This window comes from Homo sapiens, chromosome 17 (assembly GCF_000001405.40).
Source record: "Homo sapiens chromosome 17, GRCh38.p14 Primary Assembly".
Lineage (NCBI taxonomy): Eukaryota > Metazoa > Chordata > Mammalia > Primates > Hominidae > Homo > Homo sapiens.
In genome coordinates this window covers 78,509,230-78,526,478 of record NC_000017.11, presented here as the reverse complement: position 1 = coordinate 78,526,478, position 17,249 = coordinate 78,509,230, and the positions used below count along the sequence as shown (strand labels likewise).

General features: G+C 47.6%; 1 protein-coding gene and 1 pseudogene across 5 annotated transcripts in view, besides 2 other annotated features; one reads left to right on the top strand and one right to left on the bottom strand.

Annotated features, from left to right (window-relative positions):
• DNAH17 (dynein axonemal heavy chain 17) overlaps positions 1-17,249 on the top strand; it is a 153,700-nt gene that overhangs the window by 50,918 nt on the left and 85,533 nt on the right. For all 5 annotated transcript variants that reach the window (XM_024451013.2, NM_173628.4, XM_011525416.3 and 2 more), the window contains 3 exons: positions 1,318-1,470; positions 11,457-11,705; positions 15,973-16,095. In XM_024451013.2, coding sequence (XP_024306781.1) covers positions 1,318-1,470; positions 11,457-11,705; positions 15,973-16,095 — 525 coding nt within the window. The remainder of the gene's footprint in view (positions 1-1,317; positions 1,471-11,456; positions 11,706-15,972; positions 16,096-17,249) is intronic.
• Positions 107-722: an enhancer, noted in NCBI's record as "H3K27ac-H3K4me1 hESC enhancer chr17:76521839-76522454 (GRCh37/hg19 assembly coordinates)". NCBI's record gives its function as "activates a minimal SCP1, AML or CMV promoter by ChIP-STARR-seq in naive H9 embryonic stem cells {active_cell/tissue: H9 hESC(naive)}" and the evidence as "EXISTENCE:reporter gene assay evidence [ECO:0000049][PMID:30033119]".
• LOC100419624 (RAN binding protein 1 pseudogene) lies at positions 3,609-4,320 on the bottom strand (annotated as a pseudogene).
• Positions 15,153-16,352: an enhancer, noted in NCBI's record as "P300/CBP strongly-dependent group 1 enhancer chr17:76506209-76507408 (GRCh37/hg19 assembly coordinates)". NCBI's record gives its function as "activates an origin of replication core promoter dependent on BRD2, BRD4, P300/CBP, MED14 and CDK7 cofactors, with strong dependence on P300/CBP, by STARR-seq in HCT116 cells {active_cell/tissue: HCT116}" and the evidence as "EXISTENCE:reporter gene assay evidence [ECO:0000049][PMID:35650434]".

Below are 17,249 nucleotides of genomic sequence, written 5' to 3'. Positions count from 1 at the left end.
TGGGTGTGTACGTGAACATGCAAACCGAGCAGCCCCCCAGACCACATGGTGTCCCCTCTGTGTCTCGCAGCTCAGAGCATGGCTCCAGGCCCACGGCTCAGGCCCCTTAACACCCTGTGTGACCCATAGTCCCTTAGCCTGACTCCGCCCCCTAATCTCCACTCTGTTCACATTCAGCAGCTTCCTGTCCCCTGGGCTTAATACTCACCTGCCATCTCTCCCTGCCTCCTGCCTCTCCTGACCCACCACATCGGGCAGCAGCCAGGCTTCACTCGTGTTCCCACTCTGTTCCCACTGTCCAAGTTCATGGTCACGTCCAGTGCACAAATTCACACAGCCCTGGACCTGGCAGCCCACTCAAGCTCAGGCCCAAAAGGCCCTTGTGGGCAGGAGCATGTGGGGTGCTCAGGGCCCAGGGGGGCCTCTTGGGGCCCAGTGGGGCCCTTGTCAGTTCCTCTTTGCTCCCAGTACGGTGCCCAGGTACTGCTGGGTCGGCCCCACCTGCACCTCCGCCTCACAGGCTCTAGCAAATGTGAACCCCAGGGTCCTCAGGGTTGCCTCACTCTTCCCCTCCCTGAGCTTCGGCTCTTTGGCCTCCAGCTCCAATCCGACCTTTCCTCATGGCCGTTTCCTCATGTCGCATTCCTCAAGCCACGATGGAGATGCAGCCATTCTCTCCCTAGGGCCCCGGGCTGGATTTTCTGGAAAGATTTGGGGTGAGGGGTGCCCCATGCCCATCCAAGGGGAGCTGTGGAGCTCCAGCTGGTGACCAGAGCAGGCAGTCCCTGCGTGTCCATGTGTGTGCACACGCTCCGAGCCCACCTTTGCCACAGCCTGCCTGTTACGTGTCCACGCAAACACACCCACTATCACCAGGTGCTACGACGGCCAACTCTTAGTCATGGGATTTGAGAGGACACTACGGATTTTTCCTCTTTGCTTATCTGAATTATCTCATTTTCAAAGCATTACTTAAGTCATTTTTAATAAGATAAAAATATAATATGAAAGTTGAAGAAATGCTGGGAAATCAGAAACTCTCAGGAGGAAATGAGGCATTTACCATGCCCATTGGGAGTCAGTCCCCACGCTGGTGTGGGTAGAGGTCACCCGCCCTCCCCTGCAGGCAGGACCCAGGAGGCCTTGGGGGATGGAGGGCTCTGTCCTCCCTCCAGGTGGGACACCGTTGTATGGACACCTCCTCCCAGAAGGTTTATCAGGGAGGGCACACTGGAGAGACGGGCAGAACGTCGGGGAGTGGGGTGGGGCACCGCTGAGGGTAGGTAGCCCTACTGACGGCCCCCTCGCCGCCCCTAGCAACAAAAGAGCATCTCCGCCATGGAAGGCATCATGGAGGCGCTGTCCAAGTCCGGGGGCCTGTTCGAGGTCCCCGTCCCAGACTACAAGCAGCTCAAGGCCTGCCACCGGGAGGTCCGCCTACTGAAGGAGCTCTGGGACATGGTTGTTGTGGTGAGTGCAGGGCACGCCGCGTGGGTGGGGCCCGGGATTCTGCAGGGAGCTGCCCCCGGCAACAAGAGGGCAGGCTCTGGGCACCCTTTGGTTGTAAGAATGTGACAAGAAGGTTTCTGGTGTTGGGTGGAGGCATCCGAAGGGCCCTGAGATCGCGAGGTGGGGTCCCTCCGCTAAAGCAGGATATGTTCACCTCTCTCTGTATGTGGGTGGGGGCTCGCCTTTGACTGCCCCCCTTTCTTTTTTCCCCTCCCTTCGTCTTTTTCCTCCTCCTCTCATTCTCTCTCACATCTCACCTTTTTTAAAGAAATTTTTTTAAGTAAGGAATACCACTTAGTCTGTTCAAGGTGCTCTAACAAAATCCCATAAACTCAGTGGCTCATAAACAACATTTTATTCCTCACCGTTCTGGAGGCTGGGAAGTCCACAGTCAAGGCAGATGTAATGTCTGGTGAGGACGCACTTTGTGGCTCATAGACAGTCCCCTCTCACTGCATCCTCATGTGGTGGAAGTGGAGCAGGCCGGGGCTGAGAAATCGCTCCAGGGTCCCTTTTATAAGAGCATGAATCAGGCCCGGTGTGGTGGCTCATGCCTGTAATCTCAGCACTTTGGGAGGCCGAGGCAGGTGGATCACCTGAGGTCAGAAGTTTGAGAACAGCCTAGCCAACATGATGAAACCCCGTCTCTACGAAAAATACGAAAATTAACTGGGCGTGGTGGTGTGCACCTGTAATCCCAGCTACTCGGGAAGCTGAGGTAGAAGAATTGCTTGAACCTGGGAGGCAGAGGTTGCAGTGAGCCAAGATCGTGCCACTGTACTCCAGCCTGGGCGATAGAGTGAGACTCCATCTCAAAAAATAAACACATAAATAAGAGCACAAATCACATTCCTGAGGGCCACGCCCCGATGACCTCATCACCTCCCAAAGGCCCTGCCTCCTAATACGAGGTAAGGATTTCAACAGAGAAATTTTGGGGGGAATATTCAGACCATCAGAGGCTCAATCTATGAGAAAGATTTTGTGGTTTCATTTGTATTTCCTACTGACTAACGATGCCAGCATATTTTCTTTTTTAAAAAGTATTTTTATTTATTTTTGAGACAAGGTCCTGCTCTGTTGCCCAGGCTGGGGTGCAGTGGCACGATCTCAGCTGACTGCAACCTCTGCCTCCTGGGCTCGAGCAATCCTCCTGCCTCTCAGCCTCGCAAGTAACTGGGACTACAGGCTTGCGCCACTACGTCTAGCTAATTTTTACATTTCTATGTAGAGATGGAATCTTGCTGTGTTGCCCAGGCTGGTCTTGAACTTCTGGGCTCAAGCGATCCATCCGTCTCAGCCTTCTAAAGTGCTGGTATTACAGGCATCAGCCTCCAGTATCTTCTCATGGGCTTATTTGACATCTATATATCCTCCTTGGTGAACTGCATATTCATGTCTTTTATCCATTTTCTAGTTGACTTTTTTTTTCCAATTGACTTTTTTTAAGTTTTTTTAATCCAGTTATTCATATACAGTCCCTTGTAAAAATAAAATACAATAAAAACAAACTGAAAAGGAGAGGCAGGGTAAAATTGAAAAAGGAGGCCAGGCGGGGTGGCTCACGCCTGTAATCCCAGCACTTTGGGAGGCCAAGGCAGGTGGATCACCTGAAGCCAGGAGTTCAAGAGCAGCCTGGCCAACATGGTGAAACCCCGTCTCTACTAAAAATACAAAAATTAGTTGGGCATGGTGGCAGGTGCCTGTAATCTCAGCTACTCGGGAGGCGGAGGTTGCAGTGAGCCAAGATCTCGCCATCACACTCCAGCCTGGGGGACAGAGTGAGACTCCATCTCAAATAAATAGAAAAAGGAGGCTAGGTGTAGTGGCTCATGCCTATAATCCCAGCACTTTGGGAGGCCGAGGCAGGTGGATCACTTGAGTTCAGGAGTTCAAGACCAGACTAGGCAACATAGCAAGACCCCTGTTTCTACTAAAAATACAAAAAATTAGCTGGGCGTGGTGGTGTGCACTTGTGATCCCAGCTACTCAGGAGGCTGAGGTGAGAGGATCACTTGAGCCCAGGAGGTGGAGGCTACAGTGAGCTATGATGGAGCCACTGCACTCCAGCCTGGGCTATAAGAGTGAAACCACATCTCAAAAAAAAAAAAGAAAGAAAAAGGAAAGAAAGGAAGAATTTAATGCTTTTCCTCAGTGTCTTCCTTGGTCTCCTCTTTACCAAAAGAGCTTCTAGCTTTTCCACCACTTTTTCGGCATTATTGTTTTTGCCTGGTCCTTTCTTTTGTCTCTCTTTGATGTCTTTTTTGCATTCTCTGAACTTTGGAATTTCCGTGCATGCTCAGCATTCAGGAAGCAGCCGGCCAGCAGCTCTGGCCTGGGCACTCATGGGTGAAGTCGGCGTGGGTGTTGCAGACCCAGGCCCAGTGGCTGCCTGCGTTGGGCTTCAGCTCCAACATGGGTGTGACTTAGGGGCTGGCAGATCTTCAGGGTCTTGTCCCTCCTCGTGAGGCCCCTTTCTCCTTGTGCTTCAGGAGCTTGATGTTGCCAGTGCCTCCACCCTTCCATTCCAGAAGATTGTTCCCTGAAACAAATCAGAATAGTTGCACTCACATATTAAAAAGTCCCTCTTCCTCTTCCTCTAGCATTTTAATTTCTTGCTCAGGAGTAGAAACTATTGGCTCATACTGAGGGTCCTGGTTGGACTTGTCTGCATTCTCAGTGGAGGTACTGTGGTTCTCGTGAGCGTCCTCGGTAGCCGCCATGGTGGCCGTGGCTCGGCTCAGCTGGGCTGGGTTCTCCACAGCCACTGGGAGCTCCTTCCCTCTGCAGCCAGCACCTTCCTCCTGCCCGGCAACCAAAACTAAGTTTTTTACTGTTAAATTTTGAGCGTTCTTTATATGTTCTAGAATCTAGCTATTTGTCAGGTTGTGATTGCGAGTAATTTCTCCTAGTCTGTAACTTGTCTTTTCATTCTCTTAACAGGGTATTTCGCTGAGCAAGAGTTTTAGTATAATTTTGGTTTTGAGGCGGAGTCTCACTCTGTCGCCCAGGCTGGAGTACAGTGGCACGATCTCAACTCACTGCAACCTCTGTCTCCTGGGTTCAAGGATTCTCTCGCCTCAGCCTCCCGAGCAGCTGGGATTACAGGCGCACGCCACCACACTTGGCTAATTTTTGTATTTTTAGGAGAGATGGGGTTTCATCATGTTGACCAGGCTGGTCTCTAATTCCTAAGCTCAGGCAATGCGCCCGCCTTGGCCTCCCAAAGTGCTAGGATTACAGGTGTGAGCCACCATGCCCGGCCAGTTTTAGTATAATCTTTAAAGTTTTTAATATGAAACTTGGGTATAATCCATTTTATCAATTTTTCCTTTCATAGATTATGAACTCTTTTCCTAGATCCTAAAGATTTTCTCCTATGCTTTTATAGTTTTCTGCTTTCTGTTTGTCTATGAGCCATTTTGAGTTAATTTTTGTATAAGGAGTGAGGTTTATTGGGTTAAGGTTCATTTATTATTTTTGTTTGTTTATGGATGTCTAATTGCTCCAGCATGTTTGTAGACAAGTCGGTCCCTCCATTAAAAAAAATTCTTTTTTTCTTTGAGATGGAGTGTCGCTCTTGTCACCCAGGCTGGAGTGCTGTGGTGCGATCTTGGCTCACTGCAACCTCCACCTCCCCGGTTCAAGCGATTCTCCTGCCTCAGCCTCCTGAGTAGCTGGGATTACAGACACACACCACTCCACCCAGCTAATTTTTGTATTTTCAGTAGAGATGGGGTTTCGCCATGTTGGCCAGGCTGGTCTTGAACTCATGACCTCAAGCGATCCACCTGCCTCAGCCTCCCAAAGTACTGGGATTACAGGCGTGAGCCACAGCGCCTGGCCCCGCTCCATTTAATTTATTTTGCATCTTTATCAAAAGTCAGTTGGGCACCTTAGACTGCTGCTGTTGATGGGTTCTGTGCTCTGTTCCATTGGTCTTCGTGTCTGTCCCTCCATGATACTGCACAGTCTTGATTCCTAGAGCAATCTAGTAAGGTTTGTTATCAGAGCGATTCCTCCCACTTTATCCTTTTTTGTCAAGATTGGTTTGCTCTTCTAGGACTTGTACTTTTCCATATAAATTTTAGAATAAGCTTGTTATGCTTATAAAAAAATAAAACCTTATTGGGGTTTTTATAGGAATTGCGTTAAAACTATTAATCAATTTGGAGAGAACTGACATGTTGACTCTGTCTCCCAGTCCATAACATAATGTATCTCTCCATTTATTTGGCTCTTCTTTGATTTTTTTGTGATTTCATTTTGTTATAGCATTTAAGATCCTATACATGTTTTGTTACATTTATACCTCATGTGTCTTTCCTTTTCTTTTTAGAAGTGATTGTATTAATAAGTGGCGTTGCATCTTAAATTTTGGTTTGCACATGTTTGTTTGGGTATATACAAATGTGAATAATTTTTATGTGTTTGTTTTTCTCTTGTGGCCTTGCTAAACTCACTTACTAGTTCTAGGATGGCTTTTTTAGACTCCTTAGGGATTTTGTACATAGACAATAATGTCATCTGCAAATAGGAACAGTTTTATTTTTCCTTTCCATTCTGTATGTCTTTTACTTCTCTTTCTTGCCTTATTGCAGTGGCCTGAACTTCCAGTACTCTGTTGAATAAGAGTGGTGAGTTCACACATCCTTGCATTGTTCCCAATCTAAGAGGAAAACCACTTTGCCATTATGTATATTAGCTGTAAGTTTTCAAATTGAGGAAATTCTATTCCTTTTCTTTTTATTCATCATGAACAGGTGTTAGATCTTGTCAAATTTTTTTGTGTTTACTGATATGATTGATTTTTGTTTAGTCTGCTAAGATAATTGATTACACTGACTTTTTTTTTCTTGAAACAGAGTTTCGTTCTATCGCCCAGGCCTGGAGTGCAGTGGTGTGATTTTGGCTCACTGCAACCTCTGCCTCCTGGGTTCAAGCGATTCTCCCACCTCAGCCTCCTGAGTAGCTGGGATTACAGGTGCCCACCACCACACCCAGCTAATTTTTTGTATTTTTAATAGAGACAGGGTTTCACTATGTTGGTCAGGCTGGTCTCAAACTCCTGACCGCAGGTGATCCACCCACCTCAGCCTCCCAAAGTGCTGGGATTACAGGCGTGAGCCACCATGCCCGGCCATTTCCATGAGATTTTTAGTTACAAATTCAATTTCTTTAATGGCCATACAGGCTTGTTCACGTTGGTCTGTTTCAAATTTGTGAAAATCTTGGTAGTGAATTTTGGTAGCTTGTGGTTTTTGAGGAATTGGTTTATTTCTTCTAAATTGTTTAATTCAAGCAAGCATAAAGTTGTTTATACTAGTTCCATACTATCCTCTAGATGGCTGCAAGCTCAGCAGTGGTATCTTCTATTTCATTCCTAGTGTTGGTGACTTATGTCTTCACTCTTCATCTTTGTCGGTCATAATAGAGGTTTATAAACTTTATTGATTTTTCAAAGAAAAAGATTTTTGTTTAACTTTTGTGCTGTTTTATTTTAAACTTCATCAGTTTCTGGTCTTTATTATTTTGTTCCTTCCTTTGCTTTGGGTTTATCTTGCTCATTTTCTAGTTTATTGAGGTAGAAACTTGGATTATTGATTTGAGACCTTTTCTCTTTTCTAAAGGAAACACTTCGTGCTATAAAATTTCCCTCTCTACATTAGCTGCGTCCCACGTATTTTGATATTACATTCAGTTCTGTGTGTTTTTTAATTTCTTTTGAGGCTTCCTCTTTGACCCATGGATGATTTAGAAGTATATTTTACATTTCTTTTTTTTTTTTTTTTTTTTTTTTTTGAGACGGAGTCTCGCTCTTTCACCCAGGCCAGACTGCAGTGGCGCTATCTTGGCTCACTGTAAGCTCCACCTCCTGGGTTCACGCCATTCTCCTGCCTCAGCCTCCCGAGTATCTGGGACTACAGGTGCCCGCCACCACGCCCGGCTAATTTTTTGTATTTTTAGTAGAGACGGGGTTTCACCATGTTAGCCAGAATGGTCTCGATCTCCTGACCTTGTGATCAGCCCACTTCGGCTTCCCAAAGTGCTGGGATTACAGGCGTGAGCCACCACGCCTGGCCTGTATTTTAAATTTCTAAGCGTTTAGAGATTTTCCTGTTTCCTTTCTATTATTGATTTCTAGTTTGATTCCATTATGGTCAAAGAACACACTGTATATAACTTTCATTATTTTAAATGTATTAAGCTTTATTTTATGGATCAGGATATAGTCTGTCTGGGGGAATGTCCCATGGGCACTTGAACAGAATGCGTATTCTGCTTCTGTTGGGCGGAGTGTTTTATACGTGTCAATTAGATCCTGTCAGTTGGTTGTGTTGTTCTGTCCTTTTATAGTCTTGCTAATTTTCTGTCTAGCAGTTCCATAAACTGCTGAGAGTGGGGTGCTGAAATCTCTCCAACTATAATTATAGATGTGTTTATTTCTCCTTTCAGCTCCATCAGTTTTTGCTTTGTGTATTTTGAGGCTCTGTTGCTTGGTGTGTACAGATTTGGGATTATTGTCTTCTTATAGGTTGACCCTTTTTCCCATTATGTAATGTTCCTTTTGTCTCTAGGAATTTTCTTTGCTCTAAGGTTGGCTTGATCTGATACTAGTATAGCTACTTCTGTTTTTTCTATTGTTTTTGACTAGTGTTCGTCCTGATCTTTCTCCATTTTTAAATTTTCAAGCTACCTATATTTTTGTGTTTGAACTGAGTTTCTTATATACAGCATATGATTGGGTCATGTTTTTTCGTCCACTCTGCCAGTCTCTGGCTTTTAATTGATCTGTTTAGACCATTTTGCATTTAAGGTAATTATTGTCATGTTACAGCCTATGTCTGCCATTTTGTTTTCTGTTTGTTCCCTTTGTTTCTTATTCCTCTGACTCTCTTTTATTTTAACATTTTTAGGATCCATCCTGATTTATTTAGAGTGATTCTGAACATAGCGCTTTATATAGTTTTCTTAGTGGCTGTTTGACAGTCACTGATATCAACATTTTGTCACTTTTGTGTGTAGAAACCTCACTTCCATTTAGATCTCTTTGCCCTCACCTCTGCCCCTCTTAACTATAACATAACTGTCTTATGTATTTCCTCAATATATGAGTAATCTTCCATGGTCTTGTTTGTTGTGATATGTCCAAGGTTTTTCAGTTGTAAGAGAGAGAAGCTGGAAGTAACAGGGCTGCTCCATCTTGGCAGAACTGAAAGAACTGACAACTTTTTAAAGAATGCCAGCAGGCTTTTTGTTTGGGTCAGATGCTAAGACAGCCCTGAGGAAATGGGAATTTGGGTAGGTTGTGGAGAGGGTGATATTCAGGGAGAAGAGGAGGCAATTCGGGAGCCTGGGAATTTGCCAAACGAGGGCAGTCTGGATCATGTCTCTGTAGGCTGCCATGTGGCCTCCTAGGCAGCAGAAAGATAAGGACAGGCCAAGTCTCAGTGTGTGAAGGGAGGCTGGACTCCAAGCACAGGGCCTCTTTTTCCCAAGTATTTCTTCTTCTGTGTGTGTGCATATGTTGGTTTCTGCCTTTCTGTCTCCTCGTCACTCATCTGTTTTCAAAAATAGTTGAACTCTTTCCTCTTTTACTTTTTTGAATGAACTTTTTTCAAATCCGGCCTGGTGCGGTGGCTCACGCCTGTAATCCCAGCACTTTGGGAGGCCAAGGTGGGCGGATCACTTGAGGCCGGGAGTTTGAGACCGGTCTGGCCAACATGGCAAAACCCCATCTCTACTAAAAATATAAAAATTAGCTGGGTGAGGTTGACATGTGCCTGTAGTCCCAGCTACTGGGGAGGCTGAGGCAGGAGGATCACTTGAACCCAGGAGGTGGAGGTTGCAGTGAGCTGAGATCACGTCACTGTACTCCAGCCTGGGCGACAGAGTGAGTGAGACTCTGTCTCAAAAACAAAAGAATCATTTGTCAAATCTTCCTCCCCTCCAAAAGGAAGCTATTATGACTTTAAATGGAATTGAATTAACTCATTTGAGGAAAATTAATCTCTTGGCAGTATTCCATGTTCCCATACAAGAGCGTGCTCTGTCTCTTCTTTTATTTAATTTTTAAAATACATTATAGTAAATGTCTTCATGCTGACCATACCAAGTCTACATATTTCTTACACAGGGGGAGAAACATGTTTGGAGACACAGGCTTTATTACAGCCAGGCCTTAACAGAAGGTACAAATTGAAGGCCTCTTGATACTTTTTCAACAATTAACTGATTTTGAGTCTGTCTCTCTCTCTTTTTTTTTTTTTTTTTTTTTCTGAGATGGAGTCTTGCTCTGTGGCCCAGGCTGGAGTGCAGTGATGTGATGTCCACTCGCTGCAACCTCTGCCTCCCAGGTTCAAGCGATTCTCCTGCCTCAGCCTCCCCAGTAGCTGGGATTACAGGCACCTGCCATCACGCCCGGCTAATTTTTGTATTTTTTTTAGTAGAGATGGGGTTTCACCATGTTGGTCAGGCTGGTATCGAACTCCTGACCTCAGGTGATCCACCCGCCTCGGCCTCCCAAAGTGCTGGGATTGCAGGCGTGAGCCGCCGCACCCGGCCTCAAGTTTCTTTTACATGAGTGGCATTACAGAACATAGCAGGCATCTGAGAGAATGGGATATACGCTTTCCCATGACAAAAAATTGTTTGTGTAGACAGGAGAATAAAGTCCACATTTCCCAGGAGATGACAGCATTTGCAGTCAGGATAATTCAAGAAAAACTCTCCAAAACACACTAGCCAAGACATTTTATGATAATAGGATGCAGGGTAATCTCGAACCTGCCAGAAAAAGCCATCAACTCCTGTGTAGATTAAGGTTTCAAATCATCGTATCTTCAAGGCAAACATCTTGTGAACACTCCCAGTTTTTACGTTCTCAAGCTCAGATGTTTCTCAAGTCCAGATCTTCTCACTGTAAGTGCCCATGTCAACAATCTCTCATTCCCTCAATGACTAGCAGTTTCCAGCTTCACAGCCATTTTCATGTTTATACTGTTGGTGGGGTTATTCCTGGGTAGTTTGTATATTTTGTTTCATATTGTTGTGAGTGAAGTTTCTTCTGTTGTCTTTTTACCAGTCAGTGGAAGCTGCGTTACTGTGCGGTAACAACCCCACACATCTCTGTGTACTGAACAAAAGTGTATTTCTCATTCATGCAAAGTGCATGCTGTAGTTCCAAGCAGTTGTTTCCTGGGAAGCTACCTGCCAAGGACTGGTTCCACAGTGCAGGCTGTATTTCGGCGATGCCCCTTTGTGATTGCCAAGGCAGGCAAGGGGAATGCCAAGCTGGGTATTGTCAGGCATCACTCACCTTTCCTTGGCCAAGACAAGCTACATGGACATACTGAGAAGTGAGAGAAAACTGGGTCCTGGCCAGCAACAGCAGGGCCCTAACACAGCCTTTTGCTAAAATGCCTTTTAACTGCTAACTTTTATTTTTATTTATTTTTTTTGAGATGGAGTCTCACTCTGTCACCCAGGCCGAAGTGCAGTGGCATGATCTCGGCTCACTGCAGCCCTTGTCTCCCAGGATCAAGTGATTCTCCTGTCTCAGCCTCCCAAGTAGCTGGGATTACAGGTGTGCACCACCACACCCAGCTAATTTTTGTATTTTTAGTACAGACGGGGTTTCACCATGTTGGTCAGGCTGGTCTCGAACTCCTGACCTCAGGTAATCTGCTCACCTCGGCCTCCCAAAGTAGTGGGGTTATAGACGTGGGCCACCGTGCCCGGCCAACTGTTAACTTTTAAATCTTACCTTTTGTGACGCCACGGTTGTTTTTTCTTGTATCTAATCACTTTACTGATCTCGGGTATTAGTTCTAAATATTCCTCACTGGGCTTTGCTCCCTGCGAGTAAGTGCAGAAAGGTAAGAGGGTTTTCTTCCTGAATTCTCCTTGATGAGAGTGGAAGGAGAAACGGGATGTTTTCGTTTCAGGTAAATACCAGCATCGAGGACTGGAAGACCACCAAGTGGAAAGATATCAACGTTGAGCAGATGGACATAGATTGTAAGAAGTTTGCCAAGGACATGAGGTCTTTGGACAAGGAGATGAAAACCTGGGATGCCTTCGTGGGGCTCGACAACACCGTGAAAAACGTGATCACGTCCCTGCGTGCCGTGAGCGAGCTGCAGAACCCTGCCATTCGGGAACGCCACTGGCAGCAGCTCATGCAGGCCACCCAGGTACCATGCACCATGGTGGGCGGAGGGGACCGCCCCTGGCGGCCAGCTCTGCTGCAGGATGGGCTGGCCTGAGCTGCCTAGCCAAGGTGTTCAGGGCCCGATGCTGGTAAAGCCAATGTGGGCAGGGCTGGCTTCGTGCACAAGTGACCTGCGCAGTCACACTGGGCTCCACGCTGGTTGGGGGTGGTGGGGCAGGCTCCGTTTACCATCTCAACTTCACCATCTCAAAATTCTTAGTAATTTTCTTTTTCTTTTTTTTTTTTTTTTTTTGAGACGGAGTCTAGTTCTGTCACCAGGTTGGAGTGCAGTGGCGCGATCTTGGCTCACTGCAACCTCCGCCTCCCAGGTTCAAGCAGTTCTTCTGCCTTAGCCTCCCAAGTAGCTGGGACCACAGGCACCCACCACCACACCCAGCTAATTTTTGTATTTTTAGTACAGACGGGGTTTCACCATATTGGCCAGGCTGGTCTCGAACTCCTGACCTCATGATCCGCCTGCCTCAGCCTCCCAAAGTGCTGGCATTACAGGCATGAGCCACTGCGCCAGCCAATTCTTAGTAATTTTTGAACAGGAGTTCCCGCATTTCCATTTTGCACTGGGCTCTGCAAATTAGGTAGGCCGTTCTGGTTGTAGGTTGCATGTTCATAAGGCTCAGGAAGTTTGGGGCAAATGAACAGCTTCGCTAGGGTCCTCATGACCCCAGGAACTCAGAGTCTTAGCACCTGAATCTTTCCAGGAATATCCCACAGTACTGGCAGGCACTGGCCTTGACACCTCCAGAAGGCTAACAGGAACGCTCCCCTCTCTCAGCCAACACTGAACAAAATGACTTTAAGCAGCTACTCTGCAGAGGCCCCACCTAGCTGCAAAGGATACAGAGAGACAGGAGACATGGCCCCTGCTCTCAAGGAAGCAGAGAAATAATAGTACTGACAATTACAGCAGAGGAAAAAAATTATTTTTCCATCTATCCATCTTAGGTTCCCTGGCTGGGGCTCCTGTAAATTAGACTGATGAGAGACAGATTAAATAGAGGAAAGCCGGGTGCGGTGGCTCATGCCTGTAATCCCAGCACCTTGGGAGGCCGAGGTGGGTGGATCACTTGAGGCCAGGAGTTTGAGACCAGCCTGGCCAACATGGTGAAACCCCATCCCTGCTAAAAATACAAAAATCAGCCGAGCGTGGTAGCGCACACCTGTAGTCCCAGCTACTTGCGTGGCTGAGGCAGGAGAATCGCTTGAACCTGGGAGGTGGAGGTTGCAGTGAGCCGAGATCATGCCACTGTACTCTAGCCTGGGTGACAGAGTGAAACTGTGTCTCTAACAAAATAGGAAAAGACCAGGAAAGAGAAGGGGATTCTCTACAGAATGCAGATTTCCCCTACAAGAGACAGCTTTGCAGGACTATTTCAAACTATGTCAAAGAAACATATTTTGGGGTAAAATACTGCGATTTCTTTCAGGGCCTGCTATCTGTCATGTGTTGTATCATGTTGCTACAAACATTCTGTTTGGTCAGTCTTAGGTTCTCTGTGTTGATGTTAATGCTGGTCAGCTGTGCCTGAATCCCAAAGGGAGGGGGGTATAATGAGGCCTGTCCCCCAGCCTCCTTCCCGTCATGGCCTGAACTCATTTTTCCGGTTTACTTTGGAATGCCCCTAGCAGAGGGGGGGTTCATTCAATTTGTTCGGGGGCTTAGGATTTTATTTTTGCTTTACAGCAGGATGAGGTGAGCTTCAGTAAGGTGCATTGTGTAGATTCCTCCCCTTCCTCTGGGCTGATAAGGGGCTGAAGCTGTCTCCATTAATTCTTTTTTTTTTTTTTTTTTTTTTTTGAGTTAGAGTCTCTCTCTGTTGCCCAGGCTGGAGTTCAGTGACACAATCTCAGCTCACTGCAACCTCCACCTCCCAGGTTCAAGTGATTCTCCTGATTCAGCCTCCTGAGTAGCTGGGATTATAGGCACATGCCATCACGCCTGGCTGATTTGTTTGTATTTTTAGTAGAGACAGGGTTTCACCTTGGCCAAGCTGGTCTCAAACTCCTGACCTCAGGTGATCCACCAGCCTTGGCCTCCCAAAGTGCTGGGATTACAGGTGTGAGCCACCGCACCTGGCCTCCATTGATTAACTTCTATCATTCTTGGTAGAGGGGGCGGTGGGACTCCTTGGCAAATTTATTTCCTGCTTGTAGGCAAATAGGGGGAGGACAGAGAGCTTCTCTTGTATCTGCTTCTTCTCAAGTGCCTTCAGCTCAAAATAAACCTTAAGCCAAAGTGGCGTATTTTGGTGGCAAATTCTGCCAACCTCCATAATCAGGTTTGAATGCCAAGTGCAGGAGATATTTAGTGATGATCCTGAGACCTAGAGGAGGGTGCCACCTTCAAGCGGTGGGAAGGGAAGGAAAAGCTCTGAGTGAGTGTGAAATTTGGCTTGGGCCTTGGGAGTGAGAACTGTGAAGACAAGCAGAAAGGCTGGGACAGGTCTTGGCATGAAAGAATGCAAGAACAACGGTGAGAACATACCCCAAGGACCAAGGGCAGCATGGCCCAAAGCCTGCACAGCGGCAATGCTTAGCCCACGGCTTCCCAAGAGATCCGTACCTATGCAGGAAGTAGGAGAATGGGGACAAATGGTTCCCTCCATCTCTCATTAAGTCCCAGCCAGCCCAGGAGGGTGCCCACCTAGGAGGAGTGTTAGAGGCTCCTGCTCCGCCCCCACCACACTGTCCAGGGCCCTTCTGCTCCCTAGGCCCAAGGAAGGAAAAGCAAACCCAGCTATGCAGGCCACCCTGAGGGCACAGGGGCACCCACTTGCTCCCCAGGGATCTGGGTGTCTGGGAGCCAGCCCCTGGGGGTGCCTTTCGAGTGTTGAGACAAAAAATTTCCCGGATGCCTGGTAACAGGTTCATGTGCCCCTTCCGGGTGCCCTGGGAGAGACGCTTGGGCGGTGATAAACAACCAGCTAAATATCTCCATGAAAGGAGCTGGGCACAGCTGAGGTCTTGGTGAGCCTCGGGCACATATGTCCCCAAATGTGATTAGAGATGCAAGGTTCCATCTGTTGGTTAAAATTCCACAGTGGGCTCAGAATCAATGCTCAGAAACATCTGACTATGTGACACCAAAAAGAATATTAGACAAGGGACGTGGAAGCGATTTGGGAAGTGGGTGGCACTAGGCAAGTACCTGGTATGTTCGTACTAGACTAACGGTGATCTGGTACTAGAGTAACAGTACCTGTGATTCGGCCACTGCCACAGAGCGCTTTGCCTATTGTGAATGCGGCAGCTGCCAAAGGTGGTGGATTCACTTCCTGGGGCTGCCATGACAAAGGACCACAAACCAGGAGGCTTAAAACAGCAGATCTAGCCGGGGGTGCGGTGGCTCATGCCTGTAATCCCAGCACTTTGGGAGGCTGAGGCAGGCGGATCATCTGAGTTCAGGAGTTTGAGACCAGCCTGTCTGACTTGGTGAAACCCCGTCTCTACTAAAAATACAAAAATTAGCTGCACGTGGTGGTACGTGCCTGTAGTCCCAGCTACTTGGGAGGCTGAGGCAGGAGAATCGCTTGAACCCGGGAGGTGGAGGTTCCAGTGAGCCAAGATGCACTCCAGCCCAGGTGACAAAGCGAGACTCTGTCTCAAAAGAAAGAAAGAAAACAGACCTGTGTTTTCTCACAGTGCTGGAGGCCAGGACTCTGAAATCAGGGTGTCAGCAGGCTGCACTCCTTCTAGAGGCTCCGGGGGAGGGTCCTTCCTGCCTCCTCCAGCTTCTGGGGGCTCCAGGCATTCCTTGGCCTGTGGCCGCATCATGCCTGTCTCTGCCTTGGTCTCCACAAGGCCCTCTTTCCTGTGTGCCTCAGATGTCCCTCTCCTTCCTGTCACGAGGACACTTGGCCCTGGATTTATGTCTCACCGGAAAATCCAGGATGAACTCACCTCAAGATCCTTAGTATCTGCAAAGACCCTATTTCCAAATAAGGTGACACGTGAAGGTTCTGGGCGGATGTGAATTTTGCGGGGGGGCCGCAATTCCGCCCAGTGCAGGTGCGTTCTGCTCTTATGCGGTTTTACAGGGAAGGAAGGTGAGGCTTGGAGAAGTCACTTCCTCAAGTCTCAGAGCTGAAAATGGCAGAGCAGAGCTCGCCTCCCTCCCTCCAGCAGCCCGGGATCGTGCCCCGGCAATGGCTCTCCATGAAGGATCATGACGTCTGCCCACTGCAGAGTGCACATGACCTGAAATGAATCCTGCCTGGATTTTTTTCCCTTAGGTGAAATTTAAAATGTCAGAAGAGACGACCCTGGCAGATTTACTGCAGCTGAACCTCCACAGTTACGAGGATGAGGTCCGCAACATCGTGGACAAGGCCGTGAAGGAGTCGGGCATGGAAAAGGTAGGCCGTGCTGGCGGTGCTGTCTGTGCAACGTGGGATCAGCCTGAAACTGCCCCCTCCAACCACTGAGAGCGCCCAGAGGGGTCCTGCAGCCCCAAGGCTCTCACGGGAAGTCTGGCGGGCCTTTCTTACCCAACCTGTGACAAATCTTAAAAAATAATTCTGGAATCTATTTGTTTGTTTATTATTTTTTATTGTTTTTGAGACAGAGTCTCTCTCTGTTGCCCAGGCTGGAGTGCAGTGGCACGATCTTGGCTCACTGCAACCTCCACCTCCTGGGTTCAAGAGATTCTCCTGCCTCAGCCTCCCAAGTAGCTGGGATTACAGGTGTGCACCACCACGCCCAGCTAATTTTCATACTTTTAGTAGAGGCGGGGTTTCACCATGTTGGCCAGTCTGGTCTCGAGCTCCTGACTTCAACTGACCCGCTCGCCTCAGCCTCCCAAAGGGCTAGGATTACAGGCGTGAGCCACTGCGCCAGCCTACTTCTGGAATTTTTCTTAGAAAACCCAATTTGCGGCTATAGCTCTGCCCGCCCCGTACATGCAATAGTTTGGAACATTTTGTAAATAACCAGAACTCGCATTTCCTTTGCCTCAAGCGTCTTTGTCTGTGGTCCCGTCTGACTCCTCCATGGACGTCAGTTGTTTCTTCTGACTCCGCAGCTGACGGGAGGGTTGGGGATGGGTGGGGGATGGCCCCCAGCTGGTACCTGAACTTGTTAATGCGCCACTGGCTACCGGCAGTTCCAGTATCCAGGAAAACTCCTTTTGCGGTTCAAATCTCTCTCCTCAGCCTGTTTTGTGAGTTTGAATTGTCACATTTTGACTTGCTTTAAAAACAAAAATAAAAACAACAACAAAAAAACTTTATTAGATATAATTCACATACCATACAGTTCGCCTGTTTAAAGTGTGCAGTGGCTTTTAGCATAGTTACAAGTGTGTAATCAGCACATATTCAACAGCAGAGGGTGGGGGCTCCTGCCTATAATCCCAGCACTTTGGGAGGCAGGAGGAGCGCTTGAGCCCAGGAGTTCAAGAGAAGGCCAGCCTGGGCAACATAGGCAGACCCCATCTCTACAAAAAAAATAAATAAATTTAAAAAAATTAGCGGGGGACCGGGCACGGTGGCTCACGCCTGTAATCCCAACG